Source organism: Homo sapiens, chromosome Y, assembly GCF_000001405.40.
Source record: "Homo sapiens chromosome Y, GRCh38.p14 Primary Assembly".
NCBI classification, from domain to species: Eukaryota; Metazoa; Chordata; class Mammalia; order Primates; family Hominidae; genus Homo; species Homo sapiens.
This window is the reverse complement of record NC_000024.10, coordinates 7,684,142-7,706,779: the sequence shown is the minus strand read 5'-3', so window position 1 is coordinate 7,706,779 and position 22,638 is coordinate 7,684,142. Positions and strand designations below refer to the sequence as shown.

Sequence of the window (22,638 nt, the reverse complement as noted above, 5' to 3'; positions counted from 1 at the left end):
GATTCCACTTACAAGGGATGTGAAGGACCTCTTCAAGGAGACCTATAAACCACTACTCAATGAAATAAAAGAGGATACAAACAAATGGAAATACATTCCATGCTCATGGGTAGGAAGAATCAATATCGTGAAAATGGCCATACTACCCAAGGTAATTTATAGATTCAATGCTATCCCCGTCAAGCTACCAATGACTTTCTTCACAGAATTGGAAAAAGCTACTTTAAAGTTCATATGGAACCAAAAAAGAGCCCACATTGCCAAGTCAATCCTAAGCCAAAAGAACAAAGCTGGAAGCGTCATGCTACCTGACTTCAAACTATACTACAAGGCTACAGTAACCAAAACAGCATGTTACTGGTACCAAAAAAGGGATATAGACCAATGGAATAGAACAGAGCCCTCAGAAATAATGCCACATATCTGCAAGCATCTGATCTTTGACAAACCTGAAAAAAACAAGAAATGGGGAAACGATTCCCTATTTAATAAATGGTGCTGGGAAAACTGGCTAGCCATATGTAGGAAGCTGAAACTGGATTCCTTCCTTACACCTTATACTAAAATTAATTCAAGATGGATTAAAGATTTAAAGGTTAGACCTGAAACCATAAAAAAACCTAGAAGAAAACCTAGGCAATACCATTCAGGACATAGGCATGGGCAAGAACTTCATGTCTAAAACACAAAAAGGAATGGCAACAAAAGCCAAAATTGACAAATGGGATCCAATTAAACTAAAGAGCTTCTGCACAGCAAAAGAAACTACCATCAGAGTGAACAGGCAACCTATAGAATGGGAGAAAAATGTTGCAATCTACTTATCTGACAAAGGGCTAATACCCAGAATCTACAATGAACTCAGATGAATTTACAAGAAAAAAACAAACAACCCCATCAACAAGTGGGCAAAGGGTATGAATAGACACTTCTCAAAAGAAGACATTTATGCAGCCAAAAGACACATGAAAAAATGCTCATCATCACTGGCCATCAGAGAAATGCAAATCAAAACCACAATGTCATACCATCTCACACCAGTTAGAATGGCAATCATTAAAAAGTCAGGAAACAACAGGTGCTGGAAGGGATGTGGAGAAATATGAACACTTTTCAGTGTAGGTGGGACTGTAGACTAGTTCAACCATTGTGGAAGTCAGTGTGGTGATTCCTCAGGGATCTAGAACTAGAAATACCATTTGGCCCAGCCATCCCATTACTGGGTATATACCCAAGGGATTATAAATCATGCTACTATAAAGACACATGCACACATATGTTTATTGCTGCACTAGTCACAATAGCAAAGACTTGCAATCAACCCAAATGTCCAACAATGATAGACTGGATTAAGAAAATGTGGCACATATATACCATGGAAAACTGTGCAGCCATAAAAAATGATGAGTTCATGTCCTTTGTAGGGACATGGATGAAGCTGGAAACCATCATTCTCAGCAAACTGTCGCAAGGACAAGAAACCAAACACTGCATGTTCTCACACATAGGTGGGAATTGAATAATGAGAACACATGGACACAAGAAGGGGAACATCACACCCTGGGGCCTGTTGTGGGGTGGGGGGAGGGGGGAGGGATAGCATTAGGAAATATACCTAATGTTAAATGTAATTTCTTTTTCTTTTTTCTTTTCTTTTTTTTTTTTTTTTTTTTTTGGAGATCTTGTCTCACTCTGTTGCCCAGGCTGAAGAGCAGTGGTGCATTCTCGGCTTAGTGCAAACTCTGCCTCCCAGGTTCAATCCCAGGTTCAAGGGATTCTTCTGCCTCAGCCTCCAGAGTAGCTGGGACTACAGGCACCCACCACCACACCTGGCTAATTTTTGTATTTTTATAAAGACAGGGTTTCATCATGTTGGCCAAGCTGGTCTCAAACTCCTGACCTCAAGTTATCTGCCTGCCTTGGCCTCTCGAAGTGCTGGGATTATAGGCGTGAGCCACTGCACCCTGCCATGGATATGGACAACTGATTTCTGAACACCTGGGAAGAACACAGGATTGGCATTGCTGTGAGGGCCTCTGCCATACCGGGCTCTCCAGGCCAAGGCAAGACAGAGGTGGATACAACCTTGTGAGGAGTGTGGGGCACTGGGATCCTCTAGACAGTCAGTGCTTGCCACACCTTTGTGCCTGCTAGATCTGCAGCCTTGAGGCAGTCCCTTGCCTGTTTTTTGAGGTGAAGATGAGGTTAGGAGTAAGTTGGATGCGCCCATAGGACACTTATACTCAGCTTTGAAGCTGCAGTGGTTCCTAGCATGCGTGAATTGGGGAGCAAGGCTGTTTGGGGCATGCCTGAATCTGAACAGGGATGGGAAATAACTGATTGCAAGTGTGTTAGCAATGGAGTACCCAGAAGAGCTGGAGGAGTCAGAAGCAGGAGATGGAAAATCACAGCATCCAGGGCTGGTTAGCATAGGGGCTAGAAGTCCTGAGGGAAGTAAGGAACGAGGTGACAACCTGGTGTGAGGTCAGCTCCACCAGTTACTCCTGTGTCACCATGGTGCCCCTGGTCTCTCCAGCGTCCATGCTCCTAACTAGATATGGGATGCAGAGGAAATAAGGCTCAGAGCAAGATGCCAAGCAAGCATGGGCAGGTCCTGTCATTTCTTAGGACCCTGCCCTTCCTCAACTGTAAGCCTAGCAAGTCACGTGCCCCATCATGTGTGGTAGAGTGAAGGCTCCAGATGGTGGTGAAATATGAAATGCCAAGAGTTGAGGATCTGAAGGACTGAGCAGCCAGCATTCAGTTTGCTCTGTAACATTTGGCTTTAACTGCAGCGATGCATGGCTGCACCCAAAACATGTGCCCGTGCTGAGTGATTGGCAGGCCATCGGGATGTGTGTAAAATTCCTGCTGTCTGTATATTAAAATAGCTGTTAAGTTAGGGCTCTGTGGTTTGTCAAAACAGATGACATGATGGCAGTGATCCAAAATCATTTATAGAATGGTTCTTGAAAATTAGTATGACTCCAGGACCGGTAGCATCACCATCATGTGGGAAGTTGTTAGAAATGCAGATTCTTGGGGCCTGCTCCAGATCTGCTGAACCCTCTGAGGGTGAGGCCTGGCAGTCTGCATTTTAGCAAACCCTGTGGGAGATTCTGAGGCTTACTCCATTTTAAGAACCACAGTACAGATGCCACTCTCACCAGATGTCTGTGGTCATGTGTGATTGAATGACATGGGTGAAGGCAAACTACCCCAATGATGTGTCCTTCTTCAGCCTTTGAAGCTAACTGTGATCTTGATGTGGAAATGAAGTGAATGGATACTATATGAAGTGTTTGCAGGGGAAGACAATGTTACAAACTAAAATAGGGACACAGTTCTCTCTTTAATTCAAAAAAGGTCAAATTTATGAGTTAACAAGCTAGTACAGGAAAGATGAACATTTATTCAGAAACTTTTCCTCAATATGCAGATTGGTTTCCAGTAGGTTTGTGAGTTTTATTTATTTCTCAGAGATTTAAACCTTTTTCCTCTTGGCCTGTTATTTTTATGCTTTAACCTATTTGATGATGTTAGTTTGGAACCAACCTGAAACTGAAGTATTCCAAACTTGGACTGTAAGCCAAGGAATAAAACCCTGAAACATGAGTGAAATTGATACAGTCACATCTTGCTTACAGACTCAATGTGATACAGTTAGACCCTGGATTCATCCTGAAAATCAGCCACTCTCTCCCTGGCCCCAGACTGAAGTTGGTATATTTTGGCCCTGGACTCAGCAAAGAGCTGCTACATTTCAAACCTGGACCCACCTGAAACCCAAGCAGTGAGATCCTGGATCAAGCAGAAAACTGATGTAGTCAGATCTTTGTTTTACATTACAATAAATAAAGGCAGATCATGAGCTTATTCAAAATCTCAAATAGTCAGTCCCTGGATGCAGACAGAAGTTGACATAATTCACCCTTTTATGCAGTCTGAAACCTTCCTACTAAGTTTCTGGCCCAAGGTTCTATCTCCAGTAGTAAAAAGATGGACCTTGCTTACAGGAAGAACACTCATATCTTGGATACTGCCTGTAACCAAAGCAGACACACACTGGATCCAGTCTGAAGCTGATATTATTGAATCCTTTGCTGTTTTTGAAGCTGGCAAAGTGAGAACCTGCATCCAGCCTGAAACAGAAATACTAAGTCCCAGAACCCACTATAAGGCTGATATAATTGCATCATTTTCTCCTCCTGAAATTGAGCCTAATGGAGAAACACTATTAATCAGTCATTTTGGCTCATTGTCCAAACATGTACCCTTTTTTGCCAGTAAAAACTGTGCCTTTCCCAGATTAGTATATTATAGTTTTGTTAACTGAGATAACTGCCACAGAAAGCCAAGATAAAAATCAATTCTGTCCACCCAAGCCAGCTTACAAGCATTTGGCTTCCTGGAAGAGTTGTTTACCAGCACTATGGCAGGAAATTAAAAATTATCCAGATAAAAGAAAACCCTGATGTCCCATGTACCTCTCTTATCTCTTTTTCTTTCTCCTTTTTCTTTCTTGTTCACTTCAATCTCCGTGAACACTGTGCCCTTCTTGTTCAGTCTTTTATTTTTGTACATTCCCTTCATTCTGCATTTTCCCACCTTGCTCCATTTTTTTCTCCTCTCCTCTGGTCTCCTCTTCTATTGTCCTATCCATAGCCTCTTCTGCTAATTCTCTTCAGAAAATATCTTCCTCAACATTTACTGAAGAGTCCATTCTTTCTCCTTCTTTTTCATCCTTGCATGCTGCTCCAGCCACACTTTTAACAAAACAACCTCTCCTGATGCCTGGATCTCAATCTGGACCCAAGCCTGGACAACAACCTCTTAGGCATGCAGAACTCAACGTTTCCCTGATTGAGTGTCAACTATCTGTGATCTGGAAAGAAAGTTTCCAGGCTTTCTGGCTCTTCGAGACAGCTGTTATTTCTCATGAAACCACAGGCACCTTTACTCTAGTCATATGTTTGAGTTAATATACTTGCTACGAAGACTCTTGTTGAACCCTAAAACCAGAATTTGTAACATCAGAGGTTATGTTCTCAGAAGTTCGGAAGACTGAAATTTAGGTTATTGTATGAATCAGCAGAGATGTCTAAATATTGAAGAATATCTTATTTTTGCCAAATAGGATTTATGAGCTATGTTTTATAAACACAATTCTATTCAGAGAACAGTATTTTAAAGATAGTCTTACTTCTTAGAAATAGTTTATTATTCCACTTGACGTATATGAATATATACACACACTATTGGATAATAGTATATTATCTTGGATATAAATAATAAGATATATATATATATCATAACTGCATATATACATATATATATTATTTGAAGGGTAAGTATGTAGATAACAACTGTAGTATATCTAAAATTGTAGGATGATGTATATTTCCATGTATTTTCTCAGAATTGAAGATACTGAATTTCCAAGCATATTTCTAAAAACCTAAAATTAGATTTCAGAAATGGGAGAGTAGTAATACTAATCTCACTCTATTCCACAGGTTTATTCCTTCTGCAGAGTGTGGATTATGCCCTGGCCATGTCCTCATGTTTCCCAACGGCTGGGAGTCAGAAATTGGTGAATTCTGTTGGATAGTTACTGTGCAGCTGTCTTTCTCCATTTCTATGGTGGCTCCATACTAAATGAACAGTGGATCCTTACCACAGCTAGATGTGCCAGTTTCAACTGTCTTTCTCCCATTTCTGTGCTGGCTCCATACTAAATGAACAGTGGATCATTACCACAGTTAGATGTGCCAATTTTACATAAGTCTAAATAATTCATTTCAAGATTAAGATATCATTATAGAGCAATCACAACATTGATATGGTTAATGAATATCTTTCTCTTTGTGTGTGTGTGTATGTGTGTCTGTGTGTCTGTGTGTGAGAGAGAGACAGAGAGAGAGTGATAGAGACAGGGTCTTGCTCTTTTGCCCAAGCTGGAGTGCAGTGGCATGATTCACAGTAGCCTCAAACTACCAAGATAAGGGATTCTTCCACCTCTGCCTCCTGAGTACATGGGACCACAGGCATGCATCACTGCATCTGGCTAACTTTTTTATTATTTTCCACAGAAATAAAGTCTTACCATGTTGCCCACCTGGTCTCAAATGATCCTCGAAAATAGTTTCTAAAGTAGTATTTGTACTTTAGTGCTTACCTGGTCTTCATCTGATTCACCTCCAGGTTTTATTCAAATTGAAATGTGGAAATAATAGAATTTTCCCTGATTTTGGTTCCCCAGAAAAATTTCAGGAGCCCTGTCCCTGGTCCAACTGGGGCATAATCATCTTCTAGATTCTGCCCAAGCTCAGACTGTCAGCATTGAACATGTCATACCCTACCTAGGTCCGAAGGCACCTCTAGGACCTGGGTTGATCTTCCTGAAGCAGCCACTACATTTTCAAACCCTGGTCCTTCCTCTATGCCCTTAGGAAAGTCTCGAACAGGAGAAATTTATACAACTATATGACTGTTGGCTACCTATTTGGTCCCTTATGAGGGGGGAGTAAAGAAGAAGACACTGGGATGGAAGAGAAGCATATTTGGAAAGAGAATAGTATCCTCTCTTGAATAATAAAAAAATTGTCTTTCTCTTCACCATACTTCTTCCTCTAATCTAGGCTAAATTTGATTTGAAAACAAACACAAACACTTCTTTTGTTTTTGTTTTTTTTTTGTTGTTTTTGTTTTTGTTTTTGTTTTGTCGCTCTGTCGTGCAGGTGTGAGTGGGGTGGCGCAACCTCCGCCCTCCGCTCACTACAAGCTCCACCTGCCGGGTTCACACCATTCTCCTGCCTCAGCCTCTCCAGTAGCTGGGACTACAGGCGCCCGCCACCACGCCCGGCTAATTTTTTTTGTATTTTTAGTAGAGACGGGGTTTCACCGTGTTAGTCAGGATGGTCTCGATCTCCTGACCTCGTGATCCGCCCGCCTCAGCCTTCCAAAGTGCTGGGATTACAAGGCGTGAGATACCGCGCCCGGCTTCTTCTCTGTTTTCCATCAGGAAGTCCTGGAATTCTGCAAAAAAAAAAAAAAAAAAAAAAAAAGGCAACTGAGCATACTACTAGTCAGCTCTTGTGCCCAATTTGGCCCCAAGCTGAGTGAACTCACTTTTTTTATGGAGGTCAAGAAAGCTATGTGGGAGCCTGGCTGTAAGGTAACAAATTCATGGAATGTGAATGCCAGGGAGAAAAAGAATATCTTGAACACCAAAAGTTACTTCTGGCCCTCCTTCAAAATACTGATTATATCTTGTCTCTTGTTTCTTGCAGAGTGACCTGGGAGCACCTTTGTTGTGCCATCTATAGCAAAAAGACACTTGGGTGCAAGTGGGAATCTTGAGTCACTTTGAGGAGCATTGCACAAAGCCCTATGTCTTCAGCCAAGTGCACCCTTTCCTTTTCTGGCTCCAGGAAGTGACATGGCCTAGCCATGCATCCTGGCACCACCAAGGGCCCGTGACTGCCTCTGCTTCCATGTCCCTTTCAGTCTCTACCTCTACAAATGCCTCAGCTTTTACCTCCACTCCCAATTCCATTCGGCCACACTACATCTCTCTGCCACAGCCTCAGAGTAAGTCTCAAAAACTTGGTAGGAGAAGTAAAGGAAGAAGAGAATGGAAATAGAAAAGAATAGAGGGAAGGAGAGGGGAGAGAAAGCTCTTCCTGAGAAATGCGTGAGTTTTTTATCTACCAAATCATAGAAATTATTTTCCTTATGGCTTACAAAGGCATTTCATACTTGATATATGATTCAATTTCCATAGTATCCCTATAGATTACTCTATGATGTAGATTATGTAACATGATTATTATAGTTATCTTAAATGCGTATTCTGACACTAGTTATGTAGAATGGATTGATCAAGTTCCCGTGGCAGAAGATGAATAGGGCTAACATTAAGACACATTCTCCTAACACAAAAACATTTCTTTACTACCACACAGTACCTTATATTTGTAATAGAGTTATTTTAAATTAAGTATATTTTAAGTTAAATATATTATGATGTTTGGAAACAGCATAGTAGTTGGTAAGTAATGAGTTTTAGGTGCTGGTGTATTAGACTGCATTACATTGAGATTATCAGTTTCCCCCTTCCCTTGGCTATCAGAAAACCTATTACGATATTAGCAATGGTTGTTTCATATTGCTGTACTTCCACTTATTTCCTTGAAAATTGAGGGATCTCTTTTGGTCTCATCTATTAAATGTGCACTTAACCACAGCTATTTTTGTAGCTACCACCTATTGCCATAGCTACATTTAGAATATAAAGGAGGCCATAATTATTTGCTCACATCCTCCAAAGACTAATTCAAATACAACTAAACTTAATATCTTAGTTATGCTTCTAATTTTATCTATATTTCCTTACCTCTTCTATAGACAGGTTATCTTCATCATTTTTATCTCTCTGTATATATTAATGAACATTGCTTCAACTCAGTTTTCTGAGGAACTCTAAAATAATTTTAAAAGTATGAGCTCTTTCCTGAACCTCAAATTTGAATTTTCTATTTAAACTATTTGTTTGATATCTCACTAAGATTATAAGTTTAGGAAGATAAGCCCCTCCAATTTAGAGACAGGTGCCTTATCTCCAAATTTTACATTATTTACCTAATATCTTCAAATCATTGTATTTTTTGTTGCCTATCTACTTCAATGACTTCTAAGGAGCTAAAATAATAGCTATATAAATGTTTCAATGGGGGAGAAAGCTGGAATGCCTCCCAATATTTTGATTAAAGCAACTTAAGCTAGAACAAAAAGAAACTATGAACTTCAAAAGGTATTAAGAGGAACACTTTTTTTCAAGAAAAATGCATAAACACAGTAGAGGTAGAAGTTTGTCTTTGCTAGTCATATTTAACAATGCTGACTTGGTTAGCACAAATAGGAGTGATTTAAAACTTAAAAAAATGGTCTACAGATGGCAATTCTGTTCAAATTAACACAGTTAGCTGATTTTTCTCCTCAGATTTAGCAGATCAGATTTCTCTGTGATATGCCATGCCATGGCAGGCTGGGATCATCAGCTGTGGCAGACAGATCTGCAGTGGTTCCATAGTTAGCAGCTTGTGGGTTCTCACAGCTGCCCACTGTGTCAGGAACATGTACACTTGTGAGTGCCTCTTCCCTTACCCTGTGATGCATTATCCCATAATTACATTGCTGAAGGTTTCTCTGTCCAAATTCGCTTCTGTAATCCATGACTATCTCCCTTATACAGATAACATTTTTGTTTTAGACTAATAAGAAATTGTCTCACTGTGTTTGGCTTATTATTACCGCTGTTAGTTAATTCCTCTACAATCCCGTTGTCTGTGGACTCTTTATTCATAGATTTCTGATTTCTCTGAAGATGAGCTAGGGACCTTGTGTATCATGACTAAAGAAATATGCTGGAAAGCCTGATGTAGGTTTAAGGTTCAGGTTTTCTAATGAATGTACTATAATAAACCTTTGCCTATGTACACAGGAATCCTGAAGACACTGCTGTGATTATTGGCCTGACGCACCCTGTGGTACCACTGAGAGTTGTGAAGTTGTCTACCATTCTACTGCATGAGTTGCAGTAGAACCCCTGGCTGGTGAGAGGGGCAGCAAGAAATGACCTGACATTGCTACTCCTCCAAGATGTCCAGACTACCATTCGGCTCTTAGTACCCTTAGGGTATGTGAAGAACCTGAATAATTCAGAATGCTGGCTCTCTGGGCCACAAATTATTATACCACATCAGCAGTTAGTTTTCTTATTGGGGTAGCAGTTAAAAAAAAATGAGGTTCATATTTTTAATATTATGGTTTAAGGAATAACTGTAATCACAATTGTATACATGACTAATTATAACATATTTAATCTACATAAAAGACCCAGTAGGAGATTTGTTTTTGTTTCATAAGATGATGGTTCTGATGATAACTTCACGGGATTTTTGATCTGAAAACAATTAGATGAGGATATTTCTCTGTACAGTCAATTTTGTAATCCAAAGTAGAGATGAGTTGCTTTCTAACTGTTTGCTAACTTCAAAACAAAAGAAAAAGAAGGTTTTTTTGTTTTGTTGTATTTTTACCTCTTTATAAAAGTGAGGCTGAACTTGACTTGGAATTTGGAATTTCATAAGTAAAACTTTACTTGTTAATTTTGAAGAGTGGCATTTAAAAAATGATTAAAGAGTGGTGATGCTGTCCTCAGTGGCTCACTCCTGTACTTCCAGCACTTTGGGAGCTTGAACTAGGAGAACCCTTTGGGCCCAGGAATGTGATACCCACTTGGCAATATAGCAAGATTTCATGACTAAACAACAACAACAAATAGCCTGGTGTGGTGTTGCACACATGTAGTCCCAGATATATGGGAGGCTGAGACAGGAAAATAGCTTGAGCCTGGGAGGTTGAGGCTACAGTGTGTGAAGATTGTGCCAATGCACTCCAGTCTGGGTGACCAAGCAAGAACTTGCCTCAAAAAAAAGAGGGGCCAGGCATGGTGGCTAACGCCTGTAATCCCAGCACTTTGGGAGGCTGAGGCTGGTGAATCACCTGAAGTCAGAAGTTTGAGAACAGTCTGACCAACATAGGGAAACCCCATCTCTACTAAAAATACAAAATTAACCAGGAGTGGTGGTGTGTGCCTGTAATCCCAGCTACTCAGGAGGCTGAGGCAGGAGAATTGCTTGAACCCAAGAGGCAGAGGTTGCAGTGAGCTGAGATCAGGCCACTGCATTCCAGACTGAGTGACAGAGTGAAAATCCATCTCAAAAAAAAGTCACTAGAAAGAGAATGAAATAGATAAATGTGTCGTGTAAAATGTTAATGGTGATAAACTGAATTTCTTTGTATAAGTTATACATATAAATTTAAAGTAATGATGAGGCATTGATAAGACATCATGATCTTATCTCAATACTTGGTGTTTAAATGTAACATATGTTCTTTAGGATAGTTATAGTCCATTTGTCTTTCTAGGAGAGACTGATGAGAATCCAGAAATGTTAAAGATGCAAGTGATGGAAGCTTCCAGCTGTGCCCACCTGTAACCTGACATAGTTCCATTGTTTGCTTCATTACTCAGGCCAAAGACTCTAATGCAAATGTGGTACACAGTCACATGTTTTTCTATCTACATGATAGAAACTATAACTTCATCCCTATATAAAAGGGTATACAGCGTATGACTAAATGATAAATATACGTGAATCACTGATCAGTAAGAAACCATTTTAAAAGTCTTTAACTACAGAACAAAATCTCTGAAAAAAATTGTTGTTAATCTCTGAGTTTTCTTACATGGGTAATTAATCTCTAGTCATACTAAATAGCTAGTATGCTGCTCTTCAAACAAATCAGATATTTTATATAATTTCCATATTCTAATAATAGTATCTTTACACCTCAGAGTTTTAAACAAGTCCAACCTTTTTCTACTTCCCCAATTAAAATAACTTTTTAAGGTTTAACCTTCAGTGATTTTTGTAGTAATATTTTTGAAGGTATTTGATCAGGATGCTTTACTTATGTACTTATCTGATGTCTCCCTTTGTTCTGTATACATATTTTATTACACACTTATTAGATCTAAGTTTAAGAAGTTGGAACAGGGATTTAAATCCAAATTATATATTTTAATTTACAGGAGTCAGTGTGTCCAGGAAGTGACATTATCTGCAGACCAATACTGGCAATGGCAGTTGGAGACAAATAGGCTTCACCAGTCTCAAAGCCCTACCTACTACAATGAGTCCACACTTCTCCTGGATTTTATCTACTTCAGCAAAAGAAGGCCACCCACCAAACCAGGCCATTGTGCTTTGGGTGGAAACTCCTAAGTCCTATAGTCTCCTTAAACAGCCAACCACACTGCCACTTTCCTCAATAATTACTGCAGCCCTGAGACTTTGGTAGCCTAGTAACTATAACTACTGATGCTACAGTCTGGTCACAGTATGATAAAACACCAGAGCAACAAAAACAAAAATATTGACTTAAGCCTTCTAAAATCTCTCTAAATATACCTTCAATAAATATGTTTTTTTCTACAGAACAACTGCTTTCTACTTCCTGAACTAACGTTTGGCCTTGGATTTTTCTCATTGTTGAAATTGATTCAAAAGTATACATTTAACATGAAGGTGATTATAGAATTTCATGTGTCAGCAACTAAAATTTTCAAAATGATGCAAAATACAAATGTGAAATTGTATTTGTGAACTTTACTATTCTTTCAAATTATATTTTCATACTTACCCATTCACACAATTTTTTATAACTATGTGCATGTTCTCCTCAGATGGGAGAAAAACAGTATCAGAGTTCTTGAGTAAAAGATAGAATGACAATACTATGCAAGTTTAACTTATACACAATACCGTATTTAGTGAATGAAAAATTAGTTTTAAAAACCTACTAAAGTATTGAGTAAGCAAATAAAACATTTTATTTCAATAATTCTAAAAGATGTGTACATGAAGAAAATAGAACAATGATTAAAATACATAAACAAACAAATGAGGCCGGCTGTGGTGGCTCATACCTGTAATCCCAGCATTCTGGGAGGCCAATGAGAGCAGACCAGTTGAGGTCAGGAGTGTGAGATGAGCTGGGCAAATACAGTGAAACCTAGTCTCAATTAAAAATACAAAAATTAGCTGGACATGGTGGCATGTGCCTGTATTCCCAGTTCCTCGGAAGTCTGAGGCAGGGGAATTGCTTGAAGCTCGAAGATAGAGGTGGCAGTGAGCTAAGATCGTGCCATTTCATGTCAGCCTGGGTGACAGAGCAAGATTGCATCTCAAAACCAGTAAACAAACAATCACACACCCCAAAAACTAACAAACAGCAACAAAAAAAATCTGTAGTAGAGAAAGTACTCACAGCCAAATGCACATATCTAACAGAAAAAAAAAATCCTTTAAAAGTTCCAGAAGGGGCAAATAAGAAAACAAATTTAAAACCTCACATATAAAATATAAATAGTAAATTGAAAAGAACCACAAGGAAAAAAAATCAAAATTTACAAGTAAGTACTCTAAAGAAGCTGAAAGTCCCTCAAAAACTTTCTAGAATCTATGTCCCTGTATTGAAAAAATGATCATAAAAATTGCCAGGAGTAGAACAATAAAAATGCTTTTTAAAACTTGATAAACTCTTCAAGTCTCACATAAGAATTGTAATGGAAAATGGATCAGTCAGCAGTTTTTTCCATACAATTATGAACAAATTATATTTCCTCATACACAGATTTGTTTTTTCAATATTCTAAGGAATTAACTTTTATACTAATAGTAGGTGATGTAAGAAAGCAGGTCTTCATCAAGATAACTGACACTGGATGTCCATACCATTACTCAGGTGGGCCTTAATTCCCAGCCAGGTTCCCTCCCTGGACACACACTGAAGGTCCCCAGCCATTTTGCAATCTCTTCACATTTCCTCCCCTGGAGGAAACTCTAAAATACATGTGCATGAAGAAAATAGAACATTTCCTCACACTGGAGCTTAGTGTGGTCCTCCAGATTCCCTGTGCAGTGGCCTGTCTCATCTGGGAAGGCAGGGCAGTGGGGATGAGGATGGCAGAGATGAGAATGCATGTCAGGGGAGCCCGGCTTCATCAAAACACAACATGACAGGCCTGGGAGAAACATTCTGAAAGGATGTAGACCTAGACGGGCCTCCTGTGGACATCTGTGTGGAGAGAGAGAGCACCCTGGTTGAGCTCAATCTGAGACCCAGGTGGTAGCAAGCCTCAGGGCAGGGGAAGGAGCTGGCAAGTGATGATAAGACAGCTATCCCTTAAGCCTTGCTTCTCACCCACTGACCTTAGCCACATATGCATTGTAGGTGGATTAGGGTTCCCCAATCCTGAAATGTGGGTGTTGCAGTTCCCTAATGGGCCTTTCTCTCTCAAACCATAAATGGCCTGGGATTGCTCACTGCAGTCTCCTCCATGATCTTTGGATTCTCTGTGTGGGGCACAGATCCAGGACTCAAAGGACTCTCAGATCCTAGCCCTAGGCTGCTCACCTGCCCTCCTCTCTGTTTCCCTCTCTAATACCATCCCTCTCTCCCTGGGGCAGTACTGCAACGGATTGAGACATAGGCCCTGGCTGATGATCTGGGGGACTGCAGAAGGTCGTCCAGGAAAGGTCAGGTCATGGCTCAAAGCCAATTCCCCAGAAGCCAAGGAATGACCAGTGAGGTCCTTTCCCATGATGCCCCACCGCAGCCCTCACCGCGACTCCCACCTCAGCAATCCTGCGAAAACCCAGGCACTCATGTTCAGCCAAACAGCTGAACAAGCTCAGGTAGGTGATGTTCTGCCTGCAGCTGGAGGCTTGACCCTCATGATCCCAGAACCACTGGACTGCAGTGGAATGAGACACCCTGTACCCTGGAGGGAGAGGAGTCAGGAAGGTTCATGCCAGGCTGACCCTCTCACACACCAGCTCCCCTACCATGCTGGGAGGTACTCCTTACCGAGGATACCAATGGTAGTACTCCTTAATTATCACTTCATTATGAAAGTAAAGGTTGTGACGAAAGGAAATCTTCATCCTGCTGCCAGTAACTGGGATGGCTGAGTTCCCTCACCTGCCTGACCAAGAAGGATAAAGTAGACAGACTCAATGGCACCATTTCATCTAGCTGGGCTGAGGTGGCCTGCTAGCTGGAGTGAAGCATGAGTTTCCCCTTCGTAGCTCTGCCACTGAGACATCCCCGGGCCCCAGGGGACCTCAAACTGCTTCAGATACCAGACCCCTCCCACAGACCCAAGCTCCCCAGCCTGACTTAAAAATCCATCATGTACCAAAACAGGACTTCATCATGGTTTCTCACACAGGATCTGGGTGTGCCAAACAATATACCTTTGGTCAAAGAGCCTCCAGTTGATTGGGTGGGCAAGCCTCATGACACCCTGAAACTTTGAAAGAGCACAGAGAATGTGGAGCAGGGTTATCTCCCAGACATTTGGCCTGCCATCGTCCTTTTTTGGTCCTCTGTCTCTGTCTGGCAAGGAGGCAATGCCACAACTGTGGTGGTTTTTTCGGGGGGTGGACCCCGGCCAAGATGTCCTGGGCTGACCAGAGACAGGAGGCAGAAAAAGTGGACAGGTGGTTGCAGCTGAAGGGGCGGGGGGCAGTGTGGTGTGAGGCAGCTGATTCCTCTGGGTTCATGAGCTGCAGGAGGCCCTTGTGTGCTGGGTGCTGGACACGCTCTGCAGATGTCCAGGTGTGTGGTGTCCTCTTATCCTGGTCTCCCTGAGGGGTGGTTCTGTCCACTTAAGGGAAGCCTTGTAGATAGAAGGGTCTGTAGGGTTTTGCCTGGTGCTTCCCATGGGAATTGCATGGGTGCAAAGGAGGTTATATATGCTCAGGGCCTACACCCCTTTGGGTGCAGCACCTCAAGGGGAAGAAAGTGTATCTGGGTAGCTGGTGCCTGCCTTGTGGAGGTCAGCAGCCCCATGCACCGCGAAGCCGTCTTAAGCACCTTGTTTCTGGGGTGAGGCTGTTGGAAACAGGCACTGAGAGCAGGGGTGGTTCAATGGCTGGCAATGGCATGCAGACTCCTCATCCTCCAGGGAATTTCCCAGGGAAACTTGCCCTTCAACTTTGTGCTGTGCCTGAAGGGACCTTGGCACCGTGATTCTCCCTTGTGAGTGCTGTGCCTGGCTCCCCGTCCTTACTATGCGGTCCCAGGGTTCCCACAAGCAAGCTGGCCTCATATCTGCAGGAACCTGGCCTCAGCTCCCACCCTGTCCCCTATCCCCTGCCTCCTGGCTGACCCCATGTGCCTCCCTCCTGGTTTCTCCCCCGACTCAGCCCCCATTCCCCCCCTGAAGCCTGATGCCCATCCGCAGCTGCCAGCCATCCCAAAGGGGCAGCCTCAAGGATATGGCTCTGGCCCAGAAGCTGGAGATGCCCTGTGGCATAGGGTATTCAAGGAGCCCAGCTCCAAGTGATGGACCTCCAGTGAGTCCATTGACGGCCCAGTTGTGCTGGGTCCAGGGCCAGGCTGTGCCCACTCGTCTATCTTCTGCCACTCCATGTCGGTCTCCTCCTCAACCACCACCTCCACATCAATCATTATGACTTCCACCGTCAGCACCGCCTCCTCTTCCAAGGCTACTTCCTTGCTCTGTGCCCCGTCTGTCCTGTCCAGCAGAGCCTCCAGCCTGAACATGGTGCCCTCCTGGATGCTCCCACAGACCCCGGCCTGTGCAGCCCAGCCCATCCTCAGCACCCCTAGGCCCTGGGGGCCGTTCCCCAGGAGGCCCGCTCCCCAAAAGACCCACAGGCCTCAAGCTGCTAAGAACATATTCCCACACCCATGTGGACCCAGGTTTCCTGATGAGCCCCTGCTTGCCCCCGCAGATCGCCTCACTCACCCTGGGACTCAGGTCCCCAGCAGTGTCAACTCCACACAGGAGATCAGGAGCTGGAGGCAGAGGCCCTGGGCTTGTAGAGCCCCACCAACAGGCACCACAGCCGCTGCTGCACTTGCAGGAGCCTATGGGTTGGCAAGGCAGTGCACAATAGCGTGCACGCAGGCCGTCTATGGCCAACCCTGCTGGCTGGCCTCTGGTATGCCCAGGGCATAGGATGAGAGGCCCTTTGGAATGCTTCTTGGAATACAGCATCCTCAGGGAGGAAGCATTGTATGCGGAGCCTGTATTTGCCTAGACCTGCGAGAGTGTTTGCCCGGGTTCTGGCCTCTGGAGCAGACGAATTCAACCTCAGCACAAGCAGGCAACTTTCCTCCCACGCGCCCGCCCTGACCCACTTTCCTCCGGCCACTCCCCCTGCCCTTGCCCCAGCAGCCAGAGAGAGTTCTCTGGATGTGCACTATTCCATACTATCTACCTGGCCTGCCTAATGAAGTGAGAGGTTTCATGTGTTCCCTGTGGGTCAATGGCTTGCCACGCCCAGGATGTCATTTAGGGCACATGGCTTCCATGCCCACAATTCCAAAGGCCACTCAGCCCGCATGTGCCTGGATGCAGCGCTACCTGGCACAAGCTCTGAGAGCTTCTCGGAGGAGGCTTACCCCGGGAGACTGGGACTGCAGGCCAGCCTCGAGTGAGGCCACCCAGGGAGACACCCACCGCCCTGGCACTGATTGGCCGTGCTGCGGAGACAGGCAGTCTTGGAGTGGCTCCCGGTGCCCTTTGCATGCAATCTGTTAGGGGGCGCCTGGAAGCCCGGCGCATGCCCCCTGAGGGCCTGCTGACCCAAGGGGTTCAATAAAGGTAGCTGCAGGGTTCTTGTCGCGTGGGTCGGGCAGCATAGGTGTTGGTCTGTGGGAGTTCGAAGAAGGGTACCGTCTTCAGGATGGAGGCTCTACAGGAGGGGGCGCCCGGGGCGCTGAGCGAGGAGGCTGCCTTGGAGGAGGAGGTGGTGCAGGTGGCGGATGACATAATGGCGGAGGTGAAGGTGGTGGCCCAGGAGGAGGCCGACGTGGAGTGGTAGGAGGAGGACCAGTAGGCACAGCCTGGCCCTGGGCCTATGACTCCAGAATCTACACTGGAGGAGCTGCTGGCTGTTCAGGTGGAGCTGGAGCCGGTTAATGCCCGAGCTAAGAAGGCGTTTTCTCAGCAGAGGGAAAAGATGGAGGAGAGGTGCAAGTCCCACCTGGGCCGGAGAGGCGACATCATTCAGAGCATCCCTGGCTTCTGGGCCAATGGTGATTCCTTTTCAGTGTTTCTTCTGCCTTTCTAGTTGAGAGGTGCTCTTGGGGAAGTGTAAGTAACATACAGGCAGCTCTGTGTCGACGTGACTATTTGGGGACCAACGGTGAGTTGCCATGGACAAATGTGACCATGGAAAGCCAGAGCAGACGTGGGTACTGTTTTCCTGCATGTGGCAATGAAACCCTTCGTGATGCCTAGCAGCAGATATTTGCGGCATCTTTTTGAAGAGCAGAAGCGAGTTCAGACCAGAATAGGTTTTTCTGTGAATCAAGCTATTTTTAAGGAAATGTGATTGCTCCCCCTTGCCAATCCAATCTGGGACTGGGCGTCTTCAGGTATAAGCAGATTCTACCACTCCTCAGACACCAGCACCTCTCTGCAAATCGCCCCTCTCCATGTCAATGCAGTTAGCCTCAGAATTACACACCCTCCGTGAACCCAGCAGGACTTAATTCAGGGGGAGGGAGAGGAGAAACGGAGGTCATATGTGGAAGCAAATCTGAGAAATCCCCTACCTCCTACCTCCGCCTCTGGGTACTCTTAGGCCTTCTTCCCTGTTGCTTCTAGCTTTACCTCCCATCACATCTAAAGTCTCTTTGACCTAAGTCAGATTGCGAACCACCCCCAGATGTCATCACTGATCACTGACTAAGATGAAGACAGGCTGAGCTACATGATCAACTTGTAGTTGAGGCCGGGAAGACTGAGGTTAGAGAGTAGAGTGGGAAGGGCAAGGGAAATAATTCATTCCTGTAAGCAACAGTGGGCACCTCACCCAAAAAGGTATTTAAGCTTCCTCCACATTGTCCTGACAGGTGGAAGAAGTGAAGCATCCTGTTCATCTCTGCAAGATCATGTTGTTCTTTCTGACGCCCCCTACTTCCAGAATAAAGTGATTACCGAGGAATATCTCGTGAACGTCACAGGTACAGGTGGCTCCCAAGATAGGTAGTGGAAGGAAGATGGTGGGTGGATCATTGCCAATGTGATCCAGCCCCCTTCCCACAAAATCATGTCTTTGTAAAATACAGGGCTTCTCATTCCACTCCAATTCAGTGGTATGAGGATTATGAAGTGGAGGCCTGTGGCCACAGACACTACAACAGCGGCCTTAACTTATTCAACTGGTTTTCTGACCACAACTTCACAGGATCTAATAGGATTGCTGAGGTGGGTCCTCGCTGGGAAACATCAGGATGACCCCGGTGTGTTCCCAGTTGCTTGGGTCACCATTCTGAGCCCTGATGAGGCCTTTCCCTATTGATTCCCCTGATAGATCCTATGTAAGGAACTGTGGTGCAATCCCCTGCAATACTACATAAGGATAAAGCCATCTGAAGAGGGAAGAGAGATTTCAGGTGAGCCATTCAGTTGTAATTGGAGCTGTTTGATTGCCACTATGAGGGGTCTGACACACCTCCCTATTTAGGGAGCCTGGGGGCTCATTTCAGAAATGTAGAAGTTGAGGCTCCCTTCATACAAGTAGAAATTCCTTGATAGGAAGACAGAGAGTGACAAAATCCAGAACATTCAGGCCATTGGGCTGAAAAAGCCACATTAGACACTGGACTGCAAAGCAGGTTATAGCTGTGGAGTCTAAAGCCCGGGGAAGCATAGTACATGTCCAGACTCACTGAGAAGTAAAGCTGAATAATTAACTTCAATGTGTGGCACTTGATTCCGTGGCCATCAACCCCACTGGCAGTCATCCTACCAACCCCTTAAGATTGGGCTCCCTGAATGTGCCTCCTTGTCATCCTTGCCGCAAACCACAAGACTGTTTAGATTAATGGATTTTCTTAAGCTATTGCCTCAACATATTTCTGTCTGCTTTTAGTGTACAATGCATCTTGTTAGCTGACTCCCATCACAGAGAATACTGGGAATGTGGCAGATATTGCAGATAACAGTTTGTAACACATGGTAGGAGGAAGTTTAAGAGATCACAAATGGGGAAGGGATAGTCTTTTCTAGGCAGGCCCTAAAATTAAAACATTTTAAAGTATGGCTCAGAAGAAGTGCATTTTGACATATGGTTGTTTTTCTCTAGGGGACATCCAGATTTTGAGTTGAATGTGATGGAGCATCAGACTTTAACTAAAACAGCACAACTCCTAATAAGTTACTATGGTATGCAGGATTTCAGTACTCAGCATGGTCTTATGCACAGGAACTAAAGGAAAAACAGACCCAGTCACAAAAAATGCAGACAGGAAAAGGGGATAAACTTGGATTGTATGGAATGAAAAATAAACACTATTAAAGATATGTGACTCTGTGTGTGTGTGTGTGTGTGTGTGTGTGTGTGTGTGTGTGTGTGTTCATCCCCTGGATTCAGGTGTCATAATGAATAGGTCAATCCATATGTTTCATTCTCTTCATGGAAATGACCAGTCTATGTTGGAGCTGGGCCTCTAAAGTTGTAGAGTGAATGAGTGTGGAATGTTTTGGTATTCTTCCTACAAGACAGAGTTGGGGAGGTAAAAGAAAGAGAAGATAGGCTACTTCTTATGGAAGCAGAGGTATTTCAAGGAAAGGGGTTAATGGGCACTAAGATATCCAGGGCCCAGTTTGCTGGGATAAGGTACCTCCAAAATCCTTCATTTTGGGCATCATCAGACACACTAAGATAGCACAAGATGATGCAAATCTTAAAGTTCACTTTCTCACATGTTCTCTTTTTAAAGGTGAATGCATAATCCTTTTCTGGGACAATCAGTCTCTCAGTACGAGGGGTCCCATCAATGTGAGAAGAAATGGGCATGTAAGGTTTATGGAGGGACTGTGGAAAAGGTTACAGAGGCATGTGGGAAGGCGTTCAGGATACACCTCTTTTTTTCTGTCATAGGTGACTAAGGGAAAACACAGACATACAGAAGTCAGGGGAAAGGGGGTGGATTTGTGGAATTTAAGATTGCAGGGGGATCGACGCATGGACTCTCTGTCACATGATAACCCAGGATATGGACACTGTTGTTGATGTTTACATCTTTAGTTCAATAATGTATGTAGCTAACAGCATTAGAAATGCATTTTGTGCTCATGTAAACCATCATGAGGATCTAGTCTCCCCAATGATTGCAACTGCAGACTGTTTCTGGAGCCCAGGGCCCTTTTACTTTCTGTGGCCTTTTCAGCATACTTTGCATAAGGTTAATAATGTAAAGAGTCTGAGTGGAGAAGCAGATTGGTGTCTGCACTCAGGGCTACTCAGATTGGGAAATGTCTGGGCACTTGCCTGTAATCAGGTCATGTGAAAACGTCTTGCCCCAAATTTAATGCATAGGAAAAAGTTGAGGAAAGGATCTTGCAATAATTTTTCTAGGAGATAAATGATAAGGAAAAGACTGTAAGTCAATGCCAGGGCTAGTTTTGGAGCTAGGCTGTTTTAAAATGGTGGTACAGGAAGAGCTTTTCCCAAGGCAGGCAGCAAACCAGCAACTGTCCACAGTGGATGGACATGCCATGGGCTGGTGGCTCAGCCATATTGTCAACCCCACCGAGCGAACATGGCTGACTGGGCTTCTTCCTCGAATCCTACATGCAGTTCAGTCTAGTGATTTAACATAAGCTCCATTGTTTAGGTATTATCAGAGATCGTGCTGAATCGTACAGTCTGTCCAATGCTTCTTCCACTGAATATCCATGCACATGGGGCACAGATGCTAAGGTCACTGACGAACTTGCATTCTGTCTCAGTAACTCTGAAACACCTCTGTCATTTCTAGTTTCAGGGTCTTGGTGTTTTTTAATGTTTAAACTGCCAAGTGTGTCTCTGTATTTGTGTATGTTTATTTCTCTGTGTGGGTTTGTATCTTTTCTCTGACTCCACCTATGTCTCTGTCTGTCCGATATGTTTCCACACTGCCTGTGTTAATTTGTACACGCCTATCTCTACAACCATGCTAGACTTTGTATCTGTGTCTTTGAAAACCTATCACTCTCTCTCCCTTCCTTATTTCCTTTCCTTCCCTTACACCCCTCCTTTCATCCTTCCCTTCCTTCCCCAACCCCCTCTCTCCATCTGCATCATCTATCTTCCAATCCTCTATCTGAATTTAGTTTGTAATTCTGAATCTGTCAGCAGTGGCATCAGATTATTGTTTTCATGGCTGGATGAAATTCCTCTTATAAAGAATGTCAGCTGAAGGAGATGAATTCTTTTTGTGAGCCATAATGAACCATTTATTTCAGCCTTATCTAGCAAAGACAGTGTTAAAAAAAAAATAACTGGGCATTACAGCAAAGCGAAAAGTCACATGGATCCTACTCATCCCACTAAGTATATCCAATAGGTGGAAAAGTGAAAAAGTGGGTTATGCCTGTGGTCTCCAAAGTGGAATGGGAACTTTCAAAAGACTCTGTCAGATCATTTTCCAGGAGGCAGCTATAGATCACAGATAAAGTGTTTCGTAAACACAAGCTCAATGATGAAATGAAGAAAATGTACTTCTTCCTACATTTTTATTTGGTATTATTCTTTTAACAAGCATCATGTATACAGCATTTTTTCATGACATGTCATAAACTATTGTTTATTGAACTCATATCTGAGTTCTTCATTGTGTCAACAATGTCAAAGAATCATGATTCGTTATGACCTGCTACAGATAAGTGATGTGAAATAACAAAGTGAGAGTGTACAGAAAAAAGGGCAGATCATGGTCTCAGAACCTCACCAAGAGGTTCAGGTGAGCTGAATGCATGTCAGGGATTCAGGAAAAGACAATTATTATTAAGGGTTTGGAAGCCAAAGGAAGTACTCTTTGTACATTCATGTCTTTTAACTCATTTGGGGAGTTTGGTGAATTATTATTTACATGTTCTCTCTGCCCTTTCTCATTGTTCTCCCCATCTTTGGCTGTTATTATGTGAAAGCTGGTTTCTTTCATTGGATCATATAGCCTTTGATGATGCTTTGTTTA

General features: G+C 43.4%; 1 long non-coding RNA gene and 1 pseudogene across 1 annotated transcript; both read left to right on the top strand.

The window, feature by feature from the left end:
* Window positions 1-5,532: 5,532 nt before the first annotated feature.
* Window positions 5,533-7,423, top strand: TTTY16 (testis expressed transcript, Y-linked 16). Its single transcript, NR_001552.1, has 2 exons — window positions 5,533-5,593; window positions 7,293-7,423. It is a non-coding gene; the product is annotated as a testis expressed transcript, Y-linked 16 (long non-coding RNA).
* On the top strand, window positions 17,187-19,979 carry TSPY12P (testis specific protein Y-linked 12, pseudogene; annotated as a pseudogene).